Raw genomic sequence first — 18,996 nt, 5'->3', positions numbered from 1 at the left:
TTGGTATTGAGAAAGAATAAAGACTGGCAACAATAGAGCTCATATAGAGATAGCAATGCAGTGTTCATGGACCTTCCAGGTACAATTGCCATCATCACATCACCCTATATGGAAGACATGTATGACTGGAGAGACCATACAGGCAGGCATGGGTCATCTTTGTTCAGGGAAGCCATAAATTCTAGGTCCCTTCAACACTCATACCTTTTAAACCAGTGGTCTCCAACCTTTTTGGACCAGGGACCAGTTTCATGGAAGACAATTTTTCCACAGACCAGGGTAGGGGAAGGGTTTCAGGATGACTCAAGGGCATTACATTTATTGTGCATTTTATTTCTATTATTACATCATAATATATAATGAAATAATTATATACCTCACCATCATGTAGAATCAGTGGGAGCCCTAAGCTTATTTTCTACAATTGGATGGTCTCATCTGGGGTTGATGGGAGACACTGACAGATCATCAGGCATTAGATTCTCATAAGAAGCACACGACCTAGATCCCTCGCGTGTGCAGTTCACAATTGGGTTTGTGCTCCCGAGACAATCTAATGCCACTGCGGATTTGCCAGGAGGTGGAGCTCAGTCAGTAATGCCAGCAATGGGGAGTGGCTGTAAATACAGATGAAGCTTCACTCTCTCACCCATCATTCACCTCTTGCCGTGTGGCCTGGTTCTTAACAGGTCATGGACTAGTATCAGTCCATGGCCCAGGGGTTGGGGACCCCTGCTTTAAACCACACAGCTCCCTCAACCTCAGGGGTACATAACTAGTGGTCATTCTGTGATACAGCTGCATCTCATCAATATCTGTTACTCCTTACTTGATAAACAATCCTGACAATGAAGTAGAAGATTTTGGTCTGGAACATAGTAATCTTAGCTCCTTAATCTTGGAAACCTGAGTCAATGTGACCAAGAAGATTTAATCAAGGCATCTAGCTATACATCCTTTTTTTTCAACAAACATTCTTTAAAAGACTTCATCCTGATCTTTTTTAAATTGATAGTTTGTAGATTAATCTTACTTGCCTTCTATCTCTCTTTGATAGTCTTTTCCCTTTCATCTCCTTAAGTACCACTGGTTTCCACATTTGCTCAGTAGTTCTATTTATGTTTTAATCTCTTCAGTTTCCTTATTTTAAATCCCAGTTTCTAAGAGTTATAGGCACATGGATTTTTTTTTTTTTTTTTTGAGACAAGGTCTCACTCTGTCACCCATGCTGGAGTGCAATGACATAATCTTGGCTCACTGCAACCTCTGCCTCCCAGGCTCAAACAATCCTCCTGCCTCAGTCTCCCAAGTAGCTGGGACCACAGGTGTGTGCCACCATGCCCAGCTAATTTTTTTTTTTTGGAGAGATGGGGTTTTGCCATGCAGCCCAGGCTGGTCTCAAACTCTTGAGCTCAAGCCATCCTCTCGTGTTGGTCTCCCAAAGCGCTAGTACTACAGGTGTGAGCCACCCCGCCTGGCTGGCATATGGATTTTTATGAAGAAGCCTCAAGAGGAAGTTTTTATCAGTTATTTGTTTTTGCTCCTAAATTTTGCTCCTACATTTCTAACTCACATGGAGGCTTAGGTTACTTCTCAGAGTTCCTTGTTTCTTTGTTTCCCGAAAAGTGGGAGCACACAGGCCTGCAAGTACTATTGCATTCCCAGCTAGCCCAGGAAGTATTAAGCTGCTGTACATGAAATATCCCCACAGCTTCATTGCCCAGGTTTCTTCTCAGTTGACTCACCACTCCAGGTATTCAAAAGTATATGAATGAATGGACACCACTCATCCAAATATGGTAATGGTACTTGACATACATCCCTGGGAATATCTCAGTCTCATTTGGTTGGTCTAGTTGTTTCAGCAATTGAGTGCATAAATATGCCCCATCCAAATTAGACCATGTAAACCATTCACACTCATAAGGGTGTTTCTCTCTCTTGGGCTGGGTCAGGCTAACCATAGTGCTGCTTGCTGAAGGCAGCCCCGGGATAAATGATGTGTATCTTGCCTATGAGAAAGATAAGTGCTTCCAACACAAGGTGAAGCTCTAAGTAGAAATATGCAGACACAGGACAGGCAGGGTAAATAATGGCCTCTAAACTTTCACTATTCCATAAGAAGTTTGCTTAGGTAGGATATGTCTAGCCTCATCATGGGTCATTGTTATGTAAATGTAGTCACTAAATTCCTGCCTCCTTGCATATGTCTAGAGGAACTGGAAAGAAACAAGCATTATCCAACATATTTCCGAGAGCTCAAGTTTGCATTTTCAGGTATACTAGAACGAGAAACATGATTGTTTTTGCATGCCGAATTTTGGGGGAAATTGTATATCAAAGGCCTCATGCCCCTCCCTGGTGATCCAGCTCAGCTCATTGCTGGGCTGCATACCATCTAGGTCACCCAGGAAACCAACTAGGTTGTTTTTCCTCAATAATCCCCTAAAGTGTCCATTGTGGAAAACGTACTGTCCTCTTCAGGCACCTGACCATCATCATAAAGTCCCACCAACCCTTGTCCCTGGCACCTACTGCTTTCTATAAACCCTGGCAGCCAAACCAAATATAATTTAATCTGTATGCTCTGTGAGCAAATGGAGAAGCTCTCAATTGCTCTCCAGAAACTGTATTGGTTGTTGAACAATTTAGTACATTAAATGTTGTATTTTTTAGGGTGAGGCAAACAGGTGGCAAATTATTTTTTCGTCGAATGAGGATTTGGTCTTTTCAAATTATATGTCCTGGTATATAAGATTTGAAAAACAGCCACCCAGAATTACTATTTGCCAGTTAAAAAAAACTAGATATCTCCATATCAATTAGCTAATACTTCATGGAACACTAAAACAGACCTTACTATTATTTCCCTTCCTTTTCCCCCACTCATGTATTCCATAAATTATTTTATATTAAAATATCCTATGCAATACATTTGCTAGGAAATTATATTTTCAGTCTAATTTCTTTCATATGTAGTCCATCTTAAGGCTTACAAGTTGCTTCTACGTGAATTATAATTTTGTGTCTTCCCCGGCTACCCTAAGAGTCAATGCAGGGCAACTATTGCTTTCACTTTACCAGAGAGAAAACTAATATTTTAAAGTGACAGACCTGGGAACTAGAACTCAGTAGTAAAAAATAATAATACTGGAATAGAAGATTCTAACATAGTATATCTAGTGAAACATTCAGACATTACACTGCTTCCTACTGAACAGAAAACTGTAAAAGACAAATCACTATAATTTCAAAAATTTTAAAAAGAAACATCAGTGATTAAAAGAATTACAGCAAATATGAGTGGATGGACAAAAAAAAAAAACCAAAAAAAACAAAAAACAAACAAAAAAAAAACCCCAAAAAAAACCACCCAGACCTGACCTCAGAAACAGGAAAAAAGAAAGGAAATTGTGCAGCACGGTGAGGTTTACCCTATCCTGCATTTTCGTTATGCCATTGTTTAATTTTTTTAGTCAAAGCCATTCATCTTCCAGGGGATCAAATAAGCTGGGTGGTAAAAAAACACATGGAAGCAAGGGAACAGCGTTATGGGGTAAAGGGTGGTGGGGAGTTTGGTGATTCGGGCTGGTGAGATTTGTTGCTTCAATCTCACCACAATGATCAAGGAAAAATATTGTTTTTTCATACAAAGTGAAAATCAGAAATGTGGGCTTCCCCTTAGCAGCACTGCGCACTGGGGATTCTGCGTAAGAAAACCAATTCTCCTTTACTTCAAGATCCATATCGGTTTCAAAGCCATTTATTTTTCTTTTCCTCTCAAGATAACAGGTAGTGTGGATGGGGTGAATTATCAATACAATATCTATTTCTAGAAGCATAAGTTTGTAGCTACTTCTGGAATAGCAGATAGATTACAAGAAAGAGTCAGAAGTAACACATATAAAATTTATTTTACTTTGCCCCACTCATACATATGAATGCTTCTGTGTATTATTAAAATTACTGCAAAGTTCTGTTATAACTAATGCAAATTTCCCATCTGAAGACTACAATGACAGTCATTATTGTTAAGAGTATGAACGCATTTTGATTTTCTTCCATATCAGAAATGGGGCAGGGTTTTCAGATAAGGCACATTATTTCATTAACAGTACCTCCACTCCTTCAGCATTATAAAAAGGTATTCTTTTTTGGCAGGGTGGGGGGGCGGTGCAGATTAACTGAGGCCTTTTTCCTGGTATGTGTATGTCAATGAATTGGTTTCCTGACCCACTTTATACATCCAAACACAATTTGAAGAAGTTCGGGCAGAGGTACAGGAAATATGGAGTCTCTTGCCTCCCGGAGACTAATTTACATGGAAAAAGACTATTTTTAAACCAGAAAGAATGAAGACATTTTTAATCGGCAAGTTATAATACCCTATTATGAAAGTGAAAATCCTACATACGATGCAGATTTTATAATGCAATGCATCTTGTGAGTACTTTCAACATCTGACCAGCTCTAAGAAACTGTCTTAACAAATGTTGCTAAACTAGACAGGGATAAAAGCTAGTTTCAAAATGGGAAGGGTATTTAAATGGAGACTAATTTTTTTCAGTCAATACAAATGTGAATTTATGACTTGAGTTTTATGTTGCTTCCCTATATAATTGTGGAAATTCTGGTAATGAATATTTGGACATTGAAAAAAGCTGTATTATGATGAAATAGAAAGTAATTTATTACAGGTTTCCACCCAATTAAAACATTCAAGTGTCTGAAACTTTAAGCCTGTTATTCATATTGAAGAAGTTTTTCATATTGTTGCTGTTGTTCATCCCAATTGGAAAGACCGAAACAAGTAATATTTCTTTAATTAAGATTAACTGATTAGATCCCTTATGCAAGATTTTTCTTAGCAAATGAGATAAAATTCTCTCAGCCACTAATGTTTAATCTACACTACTCATTCCAATTCTGAGACTGCCATTGACGTCAGTAGAAATCCTTGATACGAAATAAAAATATATAAAAAAAGAAGTAGTATAAAAGGACTCTGTATGTTCATGTTTATAGTACGTTACAGATGTATGTACAGGGCTCTTTGCAAATTGGTCTACTTAAATAAAATGTGTGCTTTCGCTTGTATAAATACAGTTTACTTACAACATGAATTAAGTACCATTAAGGAAAAAAAAAAAACCTTTCAGTAGCTATAAGTACCTTGAATTTTCCTTTTTTTCAGAGTATCATCTCTTAACCCTGGAAACATTTTTCTCATGAAGTTGCATCCAAATATTTGTTTAAAAGTGACCCACGGTTTCCACCTAATGACACAGTAAAGTATTCGCACGGACAAGTCCATACTTAAAAGATATTAGAACATGGCTCAGTGTTATTGACACATTATTTTTAGAGAAGAAATTTTCTACCTTGAAAAGTACTTAAAATAGTAATTTCCTTTTGTTAGGATCAGAGAGAACTATAAATTTGAGAAAAACTATACTTCTACAAAGTTGTTTAACTGAAGGAATAACATAGATGTTATAGACAGATGCAAAATTTTAACGATGGTAACTTGGCACTGTGGAAAATTAAAACCTGCATTTATTGTCAAAATTTTAGGGACATCTTCTAATGTCAAATGTGTTCAAATTTAATGGTTAATATTTTTCTATAATATAATGAACCCTTTTTATCTATCTTCATTCTAATTGTAAGTTAAGAAGTCTCCTTTGCTATGTATGTGATCTTAGAAGTTATTCAACCTCTCCGATTCTCACTACCCTTAACTATAAAAATGAGGATATCATAATATACCTCAGAGGGTCCCCGTGATGATTAGATGGATAAAGCACACAGCCAGGTCAATTTGTTTATATATAGTATACATGCATTAATTAACTATGTCTAGTCATATTTTCAGACCTGGGCACATAGTGTATTTTCACATCTCTCAGATTAAGAATGTCAAATGTTGGTACACTCTTTGGCAACATATTTTAAGTATCATTTTGTCTCTATAATCTGAATTATTCCAGGAAAAGCCATTTTTTCCAATAAAATGCCCAGATCATTGTCTCCATTTCCAAATAGCAAAATACACTTAGTTTAAGCAAAAGCCAGTGTCCACAGAGTAAAGGTAACAAGAAATGTTGGTAGCTAACCTATTTCACATGTGGCAACCACAATTACATTTCATACTGGAGTTTGTTTGCTTTTTTTTTTGCCTGCCCTGAATGGATTCCACGGTAGCTGGGAACTTGCAAAATTATTGCCAGTTATAACTAGAGGAAAAAATATATTGAGTTTAACTTCATTACAGCTACAGCACTTGTATCAACAGGGCCTGGCATAAAATGGGAAAACTGCCGAAATTCATCAAGTGACGTTACTGTTTAGAATAGGTAGTGGGGACTGTTGCTGCTCCTGGTTCCAGATCTTCTACTGACCCTGCTTCTGTGGTCTTCTGTCTCAGCAGGCTGTCAAGTCGGAGACTGAGTGCCTGAGCAGGCGTGGACCATGAAGGAGAGGAATCTAACACACCGAGGTTGGAGCTGGGCAGTCTGAGGAAGTCAGAGATGGCAGGAAGAAATGCTAAGTATGTATGTCTAGGCAGGCTGGCAAGATCCAGGGTGAAACAGGTTAACAAAGGAGTATTAGTGACCAAATGTAAACACTTATTCTAGTTCAGAACCTTTAATTTATACATGTGTTTATTCCTTAAGCATTTACTGAGTACCTGATATTCATAAGGCACGGAATTTATAGTATTGATGTAGACTAAGGCAGGGTTCCTCAGCTTCAGTGTTACTGATATTCGGGGCCAGGTAATTCTTTGTTGGGAGAGGCGAAGGCCTTTTCTGTGCATGGACAGATGCGTAGCAAGCATCAGTGGCCATTACTCAGTATATATCAATAACAAGACCACTCCCCAGTTGTGTCAACTAAAAAATATCTCCAGATATTGTCAAACATCCCCTCGGGGGCAAACTCTTCCCCCATTGGAAGTCACTGGCCTGGAGGGACCAAAAATAACATCTTGCTCTGGAGTCTTTGGGAGCCTAGAAGAGCTTTTAGAGCTCTGGTTGCTGATGTTGGTATGCCATTCTGGGCCCACATTATATCCAGAAAGTTGTCTGATAAAAACAGGAGTATCATTTTCTTCTGGGATTCTTAGTAGTGACTCATAAAAATTTCACCAGATAAGCAGGTATAAAATGCAGAGCTTCTCTTTCTCTCAAGCTAATCTTGCATTAAAGATATTTCTCAACTTAATGCTGTCATTATATTGTCCACTCGAAATAATTGAAGATTATGTAATGCTGAACTTCAGGATATTGACTTTGTATGAAACTGGGCTTTCAGAGAGGTGAGAAATCACTTGAGTAATTGGAAACGAAAAGTGTAGAAAAAGAATCTAATTTAAGATGAATAGTGTGATCAAATTCGCTGTGATAAGGGGGACTGACTAAAGAGAAATGTACATGTTGGAGAATAATGAGAAATAACCTTAGAAATAGAAGCTTCGTGAATCCCAAGAAATTGAGCATGCAAATTAATCAAAACACCTCCACAGCACTTTTTTCTCTTGATCTTGACACAGAAAATCCCTGAAGGAAACACTTAATTCAGGACGTTGGCTCCTTGAATTGAAACTCAACCATCTTTGAAATCTCCAGACGTAATCTCCAAGCAGTTCAGTCAAAACCACTATCACCGTGCTGGAGGATCTGATGTCACCTCCATCATGGAGGAGAAACCTGAGCCTGACTGCGTTGGACTTTCTGATCAGTTCACACAAGAGGCCCCAGTTCAAGGCTAACAATATCTGACATGTAAAGTAAACACAGTTTGCAGCCTGTTTGTTGCAACAAGCAGGACTGCAAGCTGAGAAGAGTCCATGCGCTGGGATCATGTGAGCACAGTTCTCCATTATGATTAATGAGGAAGTTGAATTGCAGTGCCCCCACTCTGAGAACAGTGACTGTCAAAAGAATTCAACACAAAAAGCTGTAAAACAGAACATTAAAACAAGCACTGGGCTGAAATGTACCTCCAGGGGCAGGGAAGGGGCGGGTGGCGAGGTGAGTTAATTTGTTTTTATTTGTAGGTCTCATTCCAAAAGGCGATGTTTGGTTTTGCCTCCTGAACTGGTGCTGGAGAAGAGACATGGCCCATGAAACAGCGGTGGACCTTACCAAGCAGAACTAGAAGATATCTGTCAGAGTTCCAGACATTGGTGAACAACTCCCCAGATTCCCTGAGCTTGTTGTTATTAAAAGTGGGTTTAAGGCTGATGAAAGCTCCCAGGTCAGTAGCCTCTGAAAAGTGTAGTTTAACAGCAGGGAAGATACAGCAACTACACCCTCCAGTGCAAAGATAACCCCCCTTTCTTCCAGGCATGGCCCCCTGCTGAGCCCTAGGCTTTTGGCAACGGATTTCAACCTTGATTTGCTGGATCCTAGGGGAAGAGAAAGTTATTCCAACTTCATGACACATTCATGCTAGACCTTTATTTCTATAAAACGGCCACTGCTTGCCAGTGACCCTTAAGGTGTCTAATGAGGAACAGGAAAATGAGGAGCAGGAGTTCGCATATGTGGAGAAATAAACAAAATAGGAACTATGAGTCGATGCAACTGCTAATACATACGTATAACATAACACAGTGCTTCCAATAAGACTAACAGGTCCCTCCTCATCTTAAATGCTCACAACTTCCCATCAGGCTAAAATCATCCAACAGCTTATTCGTTATATAGTCTTTTTTGTTAGTAGATTATAGTTCTTTAGAAAATTACTGATAAATTTCACCTTTTCTCAAAAATAATTTATTATTTTTACCAATAATGGCTTTAGAGCTATATAATAACTTGTTAGATTATAGTTCTTTAGAAAATTACTGATAATTTCACCTTTTCTCAAAAATAATTTATTATTTTTACCAAAAATGGCTTTAGAACTATACAATAACAAATGGCGTTGTTTGCATTTCTTTGCTCTTCTCCAAACTGAAAACTTGGGCATCAATATCATTTTCTGATTTTTAAAGTCTCTTCTTTTTAGTGTTTTCATTTGAAGTGTCTTTCTTTAGTCTTAATAATCTGTGCCTAACAACTTATGTGCTGAGTAAATACTCTGTCCATGTTACTTGACTCCTGGTGCACATTAGGATATATTTCAAAAATCCTTACCACTTTTTCAGAAGTCTATGGTTTATATTATTTCCATTAATTGGTTCATTCTTTATTAATTGAATGACTTATAATGGATTGCAACCACAGGAGAATTGTTTTGGACCTAAATTCTAGAAGTCCCCAACATAGTAATGATTCATAATTTTACTAACACTGGAGCTCTTCCTGTCTATCCTGTGCTCCAATATGCTCACTTAAAGACACTCCACTCCCAGAACACACACACAAAGCCACCTGAGTTATCATTGCTGTTGCTAGCATTTCCTTCTTCACACCTCCTTAATTAGAGCAGGGCAATGTGAAATAACACATATTTGGCCACTGGGGCAACATTCGTCTTGCTGGTATAAAGAGTGGAAGGGGAGAAGTTATGAAAAATATGATGTTTATGGAGAAGGAGAAGGTTTAGGAGTAAAAGTAGCCAGGACAAAAATTAGTTGGGCATGGTGGTGTGTGCCTGCGGTTGTCAGCTACTCAGGAGGCTGAGCCCTGGAGGTCCAGGCTGCAGTGAACTGCGATGGCACCATTACACTCCAGCAGCTGGGTGACAGAGCAAGATCATGTCTCAAAAAAAAAAAAAAAGAAAGAAAGAAAAAAAAAGAGTAGAGAAGATATTTTGTTAAGTGAGAGCTACTTAAGAGAAATAATTTCTAGCAACTAATTTCTCAAAAAATGCTAGCTTTCTCCAAAATATTTCTAAACAGAGCATGTTTTGTTTTTAATCTAACTTTTCGTGAAAACCTTAGAGAAGGTTCTACATGTAGATGTAGGCCCATATTTGAGTTAGCACAACTTTAAAAATACAGTATCTTCTAAGACTTTCACTTTAGTGAGAACAAGTCAATTCTCTGAATAATAACGCGAAATCAGCTTGGAGGATTGGACTTTTGATGAGAGAAATACAGGTAATGCTCCTGAAATTGAGTAAACATAGGTATCAGAGTACATTTGTGGTAGAAGACTAATCACTTTTGTACTCCACAGCCACTCCAGCAAAGATGAGTGCAGGAAGAAGAGTAAATTGGTTCCTTTAAAGCCCTTTGAATCCTTAGTTTGTTGTAAACTCAATTGCTTCTTGGATTTAGTCCTTCAGCATTATCTGTGATGCACTTAATGAAAGGCCATAGACTGGAAAGGAAACCATGTAAAACAAAGAAACCACTGCTCAGCCTAGAGACAAGTTCACTACTATGTACGTAAGAGTAAGATGAACCAAACTGCATTGGAAATATCATGTGTTTTCTGACATGCTCAAAATTCTAATTTCATTAGCGAAAGGGAAATGTCAGCCAAGTTGAGCTGCAAAGACATTGATATCCAGAGTTTTTTTTTTTTTTCACTTTTCTCTAATTACTAATGTATTTAAAATACATTAACAGGTTCATTTCCTCAAGAGATTCAAGATTGAATTACCTCTGGCCATTTATCTGTATGAGTTCCTGTACCAGAATGTAAGTAGCCATCCTTTTATTGTTATTGTTTTAATCCATTGTAAGTGATTTTAACAAAAACACAAAAGAAAAATTATTTTTTACACTTATGTAAAATTTTCAAAGAAATACATGAGCATTACGATAAGTTCTGAATTCCTTCGGCTTATCTCCTGCCACTTCCCACAATTAGGTTCTATGAAAGGAATGACTTACATGCTAGTTAGGAAAATTTGTTTGATTTATTTATGATGATTAATACTTTATTTTTATTTACTTGTCTCTGATCTTAACAGTGTGGGTCTCCCAGGTCAATGCTATCACAATAATCTATCAGAAAAATTGAAGTCTCCTGGGGTTTAAACAAATACATGTGTGTTACTTTTTTGCTAGGTGTTTTCTTTTGTGTTGAGTTTCCCAATTCACAAGTACAATACTCTTTCAGGAAAGAGGAACTCCTCCTCGTTATGAAATGAGTCAGTAAAGATTGCAAGAGTCCCAAAACCTGAGTTCTTATAAAAACACTTAAATAACCTATTATTTAGTGTTATCCAGATAATAACGAAATATAATAATAAGCATATATTGGCAGTGCAAGAATCTTTAACTAGGACGGCATAAATTCAGTTGAGGAAGAAGATGAATCTTGTGCAAAAGAATGAAAATTATTGATTACAGAGCTGGCATAATTTTATGTGCACTAAACACAAATTAAGAGAAAGGGAGCAGGATGCATTGTTATTCACCCAAATGCCTCTGAATGCAAATAATTAAAGTCATACTTCTGAAAATGCACCTTGCCCCAACGAATCTATACTTTCTTGGAAAAGAAGGCAAAATCAAGTGAATGCTATATGAGAAAAACCTTGAGGTAGAGTTATTCTGTTCACTGAGTAAGGAGGAATGAATTCATTTGTACCATTTAAATGTGAGGAAAAGGATTGCAAAATCTTGGTGGTCTGGGTGGGCTCAATGTATCTGGTATCCATTAAGATCCAAAATTTACTCGAACCTACAGATTAATTCTCCTGCAGGAACTGAGGCAAACCAATAGCAGCTGAAAGTTAATCAAGCACTGATCTCTCCCAATCCTTCTAATCACAGCCAGCTGTGATTTCAAACCTTTGCACTGAGGTTCTCTGGGGCAGATATCCACAAGCCCTGGAGTGAGCACCCTCAACTTTTGAAGGGCAAGAAAGAAGTTAATAAAATAAAACTTAATGCCTCCAATAAAGGAACTGAAGAATAGGATCGGGATGGCCTATAGCTTTTTTCTGTATTAATCTCTTCCCTCTCTTCCAGCTGCCTATCCCTGGAAGGCATATGGTTTCTTCTGAATGTTTGCTGGGAATCCTTTATTTAAAAGGCTAATACAATTGGGGACAGTTGGTTACTCACTCGGGCTTCTCTACTTGTCTCAGGAGAAGGGGTTATTTATAGTGCCTAATGAAATTCTCCTAATTTTTATTGATATGATCATGGAATTCTTGGGTTTGTGTAATAAATGCCATCCAAATGAAGATGAACATTCTTATCTTAGGCTTAAAGAAGTCAAAATGTATTCTGAGTACAACTATCTGAGCCCAACCCGTTAGTAAGCTTTAATTAAACACAAAGCCATACAATTTGCAAAGAAGCTTACTGTAAAGTTGGTGGTTTTGTGATTTTACTTTTAGTTTATTGATGTTATAAGCACGCAATATTGTGACAGATAAAATTCTGTAATTATCTAGCTCTTCTTATTGTCTCTTCCTATCCACAAGGCCTAGTACCTATATATACTTCCTTCATTCAGAGCCAGTTCTCTTCCCCTGGGACTGATCTTTCCTGCTATTCAGCTAAAAAACCTGAGCCTTCTCTCCCTGCTGACAGAATTCTGAAACTACTTGTGTATCTTCTTTTCCAAGTATCTGTAACACCTCCGGACATCTTTTATCTCTCTCTTGGTTACCCACTGTCACTTTTGGCACACTTTTGAGTTAGGACCCTAAATATATATAGCACTTATTGTCTATTGCCTTGAGCTTTAGATAACATGTTTTGTCTATTAGATTGTCTATTAGATTTCCTTCTATCATTAAAAATGGATTTATCTCCCCAGAATCAGCTATATTTAATTTTTTGGATTTATTTCCAGTTCTGGCTTTCCTAACATGCCCCATTTTCTCACGTTTAACAAGCATTTACAGCCATGTTCTAAGAAATGACATGCTCCATGCTAAGTCTTCTCAAATAATTCTGGTCCCCAGTGACCCTAACAACCTAATATAGCAGAATTCACCAAAGCATCATGCAAATAGACAGTGAGGCCTCTATATCTTCTAATGCAATTGAGGATTCAACTATAAAATGAAGTCATAATGGATAAACTGAATTCTAACCTACCTACTTATAAAAAGAGAATGGATATAAGATTATTGATTACATTAAGATATCTGATCGTCTGTGAGTGATAATTCAGGCACATATGTGTAACTCTTATCTTGAATTCACCCACCTATAATTCTAATAATCAAAGGAATATACAAAAGATTGAGAGAAGCCCAGCATCTGATTTAGAAATAAGGGAATGCTACCATTTATGTATAAAATTTTCAAAAAATTACTTCATCATATACAAATAAAGCACAGATAAATGAACCCATCATTCACTGCATGAACGGAAGCTGATTAAATTGAAATTACATGGGAGATATGACTCCAGCAGAACCACATCAAAATCTACTATCTCAAAACTGCAAAATTTGTGGGGGCCATGGCAGGATGTGGAACCATTGGTCAGCCACAAATTCAGATCCTTGCCAATATCCTGGAGAGCTCTCCAGCAAAGAGAATTGAGAGGAAAGGAAAGATCCCACAGAAAAGCTCCCTCCTGCTTTCTATTTGACAGACAGAAGTGGTAGGGAGAGCAAAGGCTTGGCTGCACCTGTTCTCAATCATAGAAGCCAGGCCTGACAGATAATGAGGGCGCTGCCCCAAGAAACTTTGATCACCACAACAAACACAAGAAACCTATATAATCTCCCAATACTTGACAAGTAGAGGCACATGGGGATGGGTAGAGCAAAAGGAATCAAATACGTAGAAAGAGAGCAGTTTAAAACAGCAGTTTCAAGTCAACATGACGGATTGAACACATGTATTCGCTTCCTTTTCTTCCCCAAATCCTACTGAAATGACAATAAAGCTGTTTAAAAATAGTGAATCCCTGGCAGTAGTAAGAATAAAGGGTACTGTTAGTGATTCAAAAATGGGAAAATTTTCTGAAAGCACAGACATGTGGTCTAAGTTAGATAGATAAACTAGAACAGAAGTGAAACCTGAGGCTGGGTCGATGCTCCTTTCTTCCACACTCTAGAGGGGCTGGTTGCAAGGTTCAACGGGGTTAGCGCGGAGGCGACCCGGCTATGAGGCAGGAAGCATCCGCGTCCACGGAAGAGCAGCTACATGGCCTCCCTTCCTCTCCGCCAGGAATATGAGTCAGGTGCCTGCTGCTGTTGTTCCCAGGTGAATCCCTGAAACCTGCTCTCTAAATTAAGCAGAGGAATTTTGGGGAGTGGCCTGTTGTGTAGATTCAAGCCTGGAAGAAGGAGCAGAAATGAAGATAGTTCTCTATTTCCTAATAGATCAATTGGGGGGCGGGGAAGGAGAAAGGTAAAAACAGACAACAACATGCCATCCAGAAGTGAGTTACAGTAAAGAAGCCTAACGTCAAGTATATTATTTAATGTCAATTTACCTATTGCAGCTGTAACTAATTACCTCAAATTCAGCTGCTTAAAACAACACAAATGTATTATCTTACTGGTCTCAAGTCAGAAATCTGAAATGGGTTGCAATGGGCTAAAATGGAGGCCTCAGAAGAGCGGTCCATCCAGAGGCTCGAGGGCAGATTCTATTCCCTGACTTTTCTAATTTCTGGGGGCTGAATACATTCCTTGGCTCATGGCCCCTTCCTCCATCTTCAAAGCCACAACATAGCATCTGCAAATCTCTCTGACTCTAGCCTTCCAGTCTCCCTCTCTGATTTATAAGGATTCTTATGATCACACTGGGCCCCTCCCAGATCATTCAGGATAATCCCTATCTCAAGATCTTTAACTTAATCAGATATTCCAAGTTCTCGCTGCCACTTAATCAGGATGTCCAAGTTTTTTTGCAGTTGCCATTTAGGTAATCCACTCTCAGATCCTGGGGTCCAGGTCCAGCCCATGCTGCATTCCAAGGGGAGTGGGTGGATGAGCAGAAGGAACACTCCGGGGGGCCGTAGGCAGGTGAATATGGTTTTATTCACAGCAGTTTTCATCAACAGCTTTCTCACTAGCAGCTTACTCTTACACTGTTCGCCTTGTCTAGGCTGCTTGAGCCAGCCACCCTCACACACAGCTGCGTGGCTGGCTCTCCCTTGCCTTCAGGATCAGCAGCTTAACTCTCTTTCTCTCTCTGGGCACAAGCAAACCAAGCTGTGTCCTAGCTCCCTCCTGTCTGTCTGCATAGATGGATAGCTTTGGCTCTTTCTTTCTCTGGGCACCCTGGCACCCACCATGTTAAGCCATGTTGAGCCAAGCTGAGCCCCAAGAGCCTAAGAGCCATGTCACTTGTGCACAGCGTCAACAGGGCAGTTATACCTTTTACAGACAATAGTGGCTCCAAGTCAAGTATGAACTTACACAAACAGGTTATATAACAAGTGGAGGTGTGCGCCTGCACACCAAACTCGCTGGACTCATGCAGGCCTGGATATCCACCTCAGCCTATTCCTTGACCAAAGCACGTCCATATGCCTTACACTCCACCCCCCCAGGCCGAGGGAGACGTAGGTTTTGGATACACAGGTTTGACACACATTAGCCTGACCGTAGGCTTTGGGCATACAGGCCAGATATACACACACAGGCTTGACACAGTAGCTTGACACGTAGGCTTTAGGCACACAGGCCCATGACATACATAAGCCTCGATAAACTGCCCAGCTATTGGTGCAGATTACCACAGGTGTCACCCTTTTGGTGGTTATTATTCACACTGCCCTGAGTTAGCTCATTAGCTACTCTGTTTACACCTGGTTTCATACCATATGGTGTTAGTACTAGGCTGGGCTGCAACAACAGTCAGGCAGCAGAAGCACCCCGGCTAGACCTATCTGTATACCATACCCTATTAGGAACGGGGGGATGCCCATCCTAACGGTGAAGGCTCAGGGTCTAGGGGTGCCTCAGGCCCCATGGCCTTATCTTGAATTAAGACTACAGGTCCCAAGATTTCTTGTAATTCTGCTGCTAAGGGACTTGTACTCAGTGTACTCCACTGCTGTAAGTAGGTGCCCCACTTTGCTAAAGTGGGTGTCTGTGCCATCCCTGTCCAGGGGGTTGTTACACATGAACATACCCATTCTGCTATTGGTAAGTACTCCACACAATGACTGTAACCTACCCTGCCACGCTCTTATGAGCCCGAAGGGCAGCATATACAGTTACTAACTGCTTTTCCAGCCCAGGGGGTCGTTACTCACGAACACAACCATCCTGCTATTACTAACTGCTTCTTTATTAAGGAACACTAGAGCTCAGCTCCCTTCCACAGCTGGGACTAACAATAGCCTAGTGGCGCACCCAAGCGCTCCATGCACGGCTATGCCCTAGCCCAAACTATCTGTGGTTACATGCACATCAAGTTTAAATGGGCACCCCTGGTTAACTACCCATAGGGCTTGTGCCTGCTAAATAGCCTGCTTGGCTACCAGGAAAGACTGTTTCAGCTGCATCATCCCAATCCCAGGCAAGAGGGGCGTTGCCACTTCTAAACCTGCAAGAAAATCAGAGGTTAATATAACATCACCAACAAAACCATGACATACGATGGTACTATGCATATAGCCCTGCAGCAACACTGTGAAAGTCCATTGTCAGCCTCCCATGAAGGCAAACTGTTTCTGGATCTTGATGGACTGTCCAGTTCCATTGCCCACTGGTCCATTAAGTTTGTGATAGACGGCGCAGCTGCCAAGCTGTGCAAAACATCCACCCCCAGAATCTTCTCAGGCATGGGAGACACATACACAGTGCATAAGTGCAGAGCCAAGTGGCCGATGTCAAGGTGCAAAGACACCGGTTTCACTTTCACTGACCAGCTTTCATAGCCATTAATAAATGCGGCTATGCCTGGAAACTTATCTGGGTTCAGAGACCAGTGGATGGCCAAGCACACATGTGGCACTCGTCGTCCAGTGTCCCGCAAGCCAGGCACCTTGGCCAGTTGTCTTATCAAACAGAAAAGGCTTCATATCTCTGCCTGTCTGCAAATAGTCCTTGAGCTGCAGTGTCCTGGTGGGACTAGGTTGCACAGCCATGTCCTTCTCCTGAATGACTTGCACTAAGTTTGTACGTGACTGCCGACATTACTTGCTTAAACTCCCACAACTCACTGGGGTTGTAGTCACTATGAAGTGTGCTCCACCACAATAGGCAGGTATGGTCCCCGGGCTCTCCCCTTGCAGCCCAACAGCTGCTCATGCTTTATTTTTTGGCAGATTACTGGGTGAGCCTGCAACAGAGGTTTTTCCTCCTCCCTGCATGACATCCTGCAGGTACTGGGCATGCACATCCTGCAACCCAGTCACAACGCCCATCTGACTCTGCTGGCAAAGGCACATTTTTCCTTGGTGCTATGCACCTTGGTGCTACAGCCAGCCCAGGAGCCCTCAGGGGCTGAAGACCCACTCACCTCATCCCATCCTCATCACCAATTGTCAGATCCCGGGATCCAGGTCCACCCCATGTTGCAGTCCGAGGGGAGTGGGTGGATGAGCAGAAGGAACACTCTGGGGGCCATAGTCAGGTGAATATGGTTTTATTCACAGCAGTTTTCATCAACAGCTTTCTCACTAGCAGCTTACTCTTACACTGTTTGCCCTGTCTAGGCTGCCTAAGCCAGCCACCCTCACACACAGCTGTGTGACCGGCTCTCCCTTGCCTTCCGGGTCAGCAGCTTAACTCCTTCTCTCTCAGGGCACAAGCAAGCCAAGCTGTGTCCTTGCTCCCTCCTGTCCAACTACAAGAAGGACAGCGCTGGCTCTCTCTTTCTCTGGGTGCCCATGTGCCCACCACATTAAGCCATGTTGAGCCAAACTGCACCCCAAGAGCCATGTCGCTTGTGCACAGTGTCAACAGGGCAGTTATACCTTTTATAGCCAATAGTGGCTCCAAGCCAAGTATGAACTTACACAAACAGGTTATATAACAAGTGGAGGTGTGCGCAGGTGTGCGCCAAACTCGCTGATTCATGCAGGCACCTAGATATGTGCCTCGGCCTATTCTTTGACCAAAGCACATCCATGTACCTTACACCCACACATCCCAATGGCGAGGACATGACCATCTGTGAACACTGATAGCCATTGTTCTGCCTTTTTGACAGTTTAGAAATTGCCTTCTCTCTGTTCATACAATATAAATGGAAATATGATTGTTGCTAAAACCCATAGTTATTGGGGTAAACAAGATCTGAACAGCATCAAAAGGAACCCAAATGAGTTGCCTATGCAGGCATCATAGCTCATCATTCCCCTATGATTAGTTAACAATTTAAAAGAAAAAATATTAATCATATGTTGTAAGATAAATTCATTAATGTAATTAGGGCCTACTGTATGCCTGGGACAGGGGATAAGATAGAGAAATACAATTACAAATTCTCAGCATCATGAATTTTGTATTCTGTTACAGTATGTAAAGAAAACTAATTGATTTATTCATTTACTTCTTCAACAAATCCTTATTGAATATCTTTGATGTGCCAAGAGCTGTCCTAGCTAGCAGTATTGTAACAGCAAAACAAAGTCCCTGCCCTCATAAATTTATGTTGTGGAATGAGGAGACAGACATATAGTCTAATGTATAGACATATGTTACCTGTAATATGTTTTATGTATTTCTATATATACACACATATATTTTAGTATATCAGGTGGTAATCATTGTTATAAAGAGAAATCAATTAGCATAATAGGTGTTTTGATGATTATCATATAATTTATTAGTCCAATTTATTAAATTATGAGTAATAGATGTTCTGAATTATTATGGCATGAAAATAGGCATAATCTGAGACTATCCTGGGCAGATTAGAAAGTATGGGAATTCCAGCTAAGTGTGCATGTGTTTGTATTTATGTGTGTTTATGTGTTTGTTTAGGAATGTAGCAGAAGTGTTTTTGAACAATGATCTGATGGAACAGAGGGAGACAGCCATGCATAAGTTAAATAAGGAAGGAAAGAAAATTTAGGTAATTGGTAGCACTACAAGCAGTCTTAAAACAGGCTGCTTTTAGTGCTACCTATGCTACAAGTCCTTGTAGTGCTGAAACAAGAGATTGAGGGCTACTTTAAATCAAGGTCGGGAAAAGTCTTAGTAAAAAGG

At 40.0% G+C, this 18,996-nt stretch overlaps 2 annotated features.

Moving 5' to 3' along the window:
* Window positions 6,116–6,364: an enhancer, noted in NCBI's record as "F2 sequence". NCBI's record gives the evidence for it as "EXISTENCE:transgenic organism evidence [ECO:0001131][PMID:19234473]".
* Window positions 6,128–6,149: a protein binding site, noted in NCBI's record as "MSX1 site". NCBI's record gives its function as "promotes enhancer activity" and the evidence as "EXISTENCE:protein binding evidence [ECO:0000024][PMID:19234473]".

Source organism: Homo sapiens, chromosome 17, assembly GCF_000001405.40.
Source record: "Homo sapiens chromosome 17, GRCh38.p14 Primary Assembly".
Taxonomy (NCBI): domain Eukaryota; kingdom Metazoa; phylum Chordata; class Mammalia; order Primates; family Hominidae; genus Homo; species Homo sapiens.
This window is presented reverse-complemented; position numbering and strand designations above follow the sequence as displayed.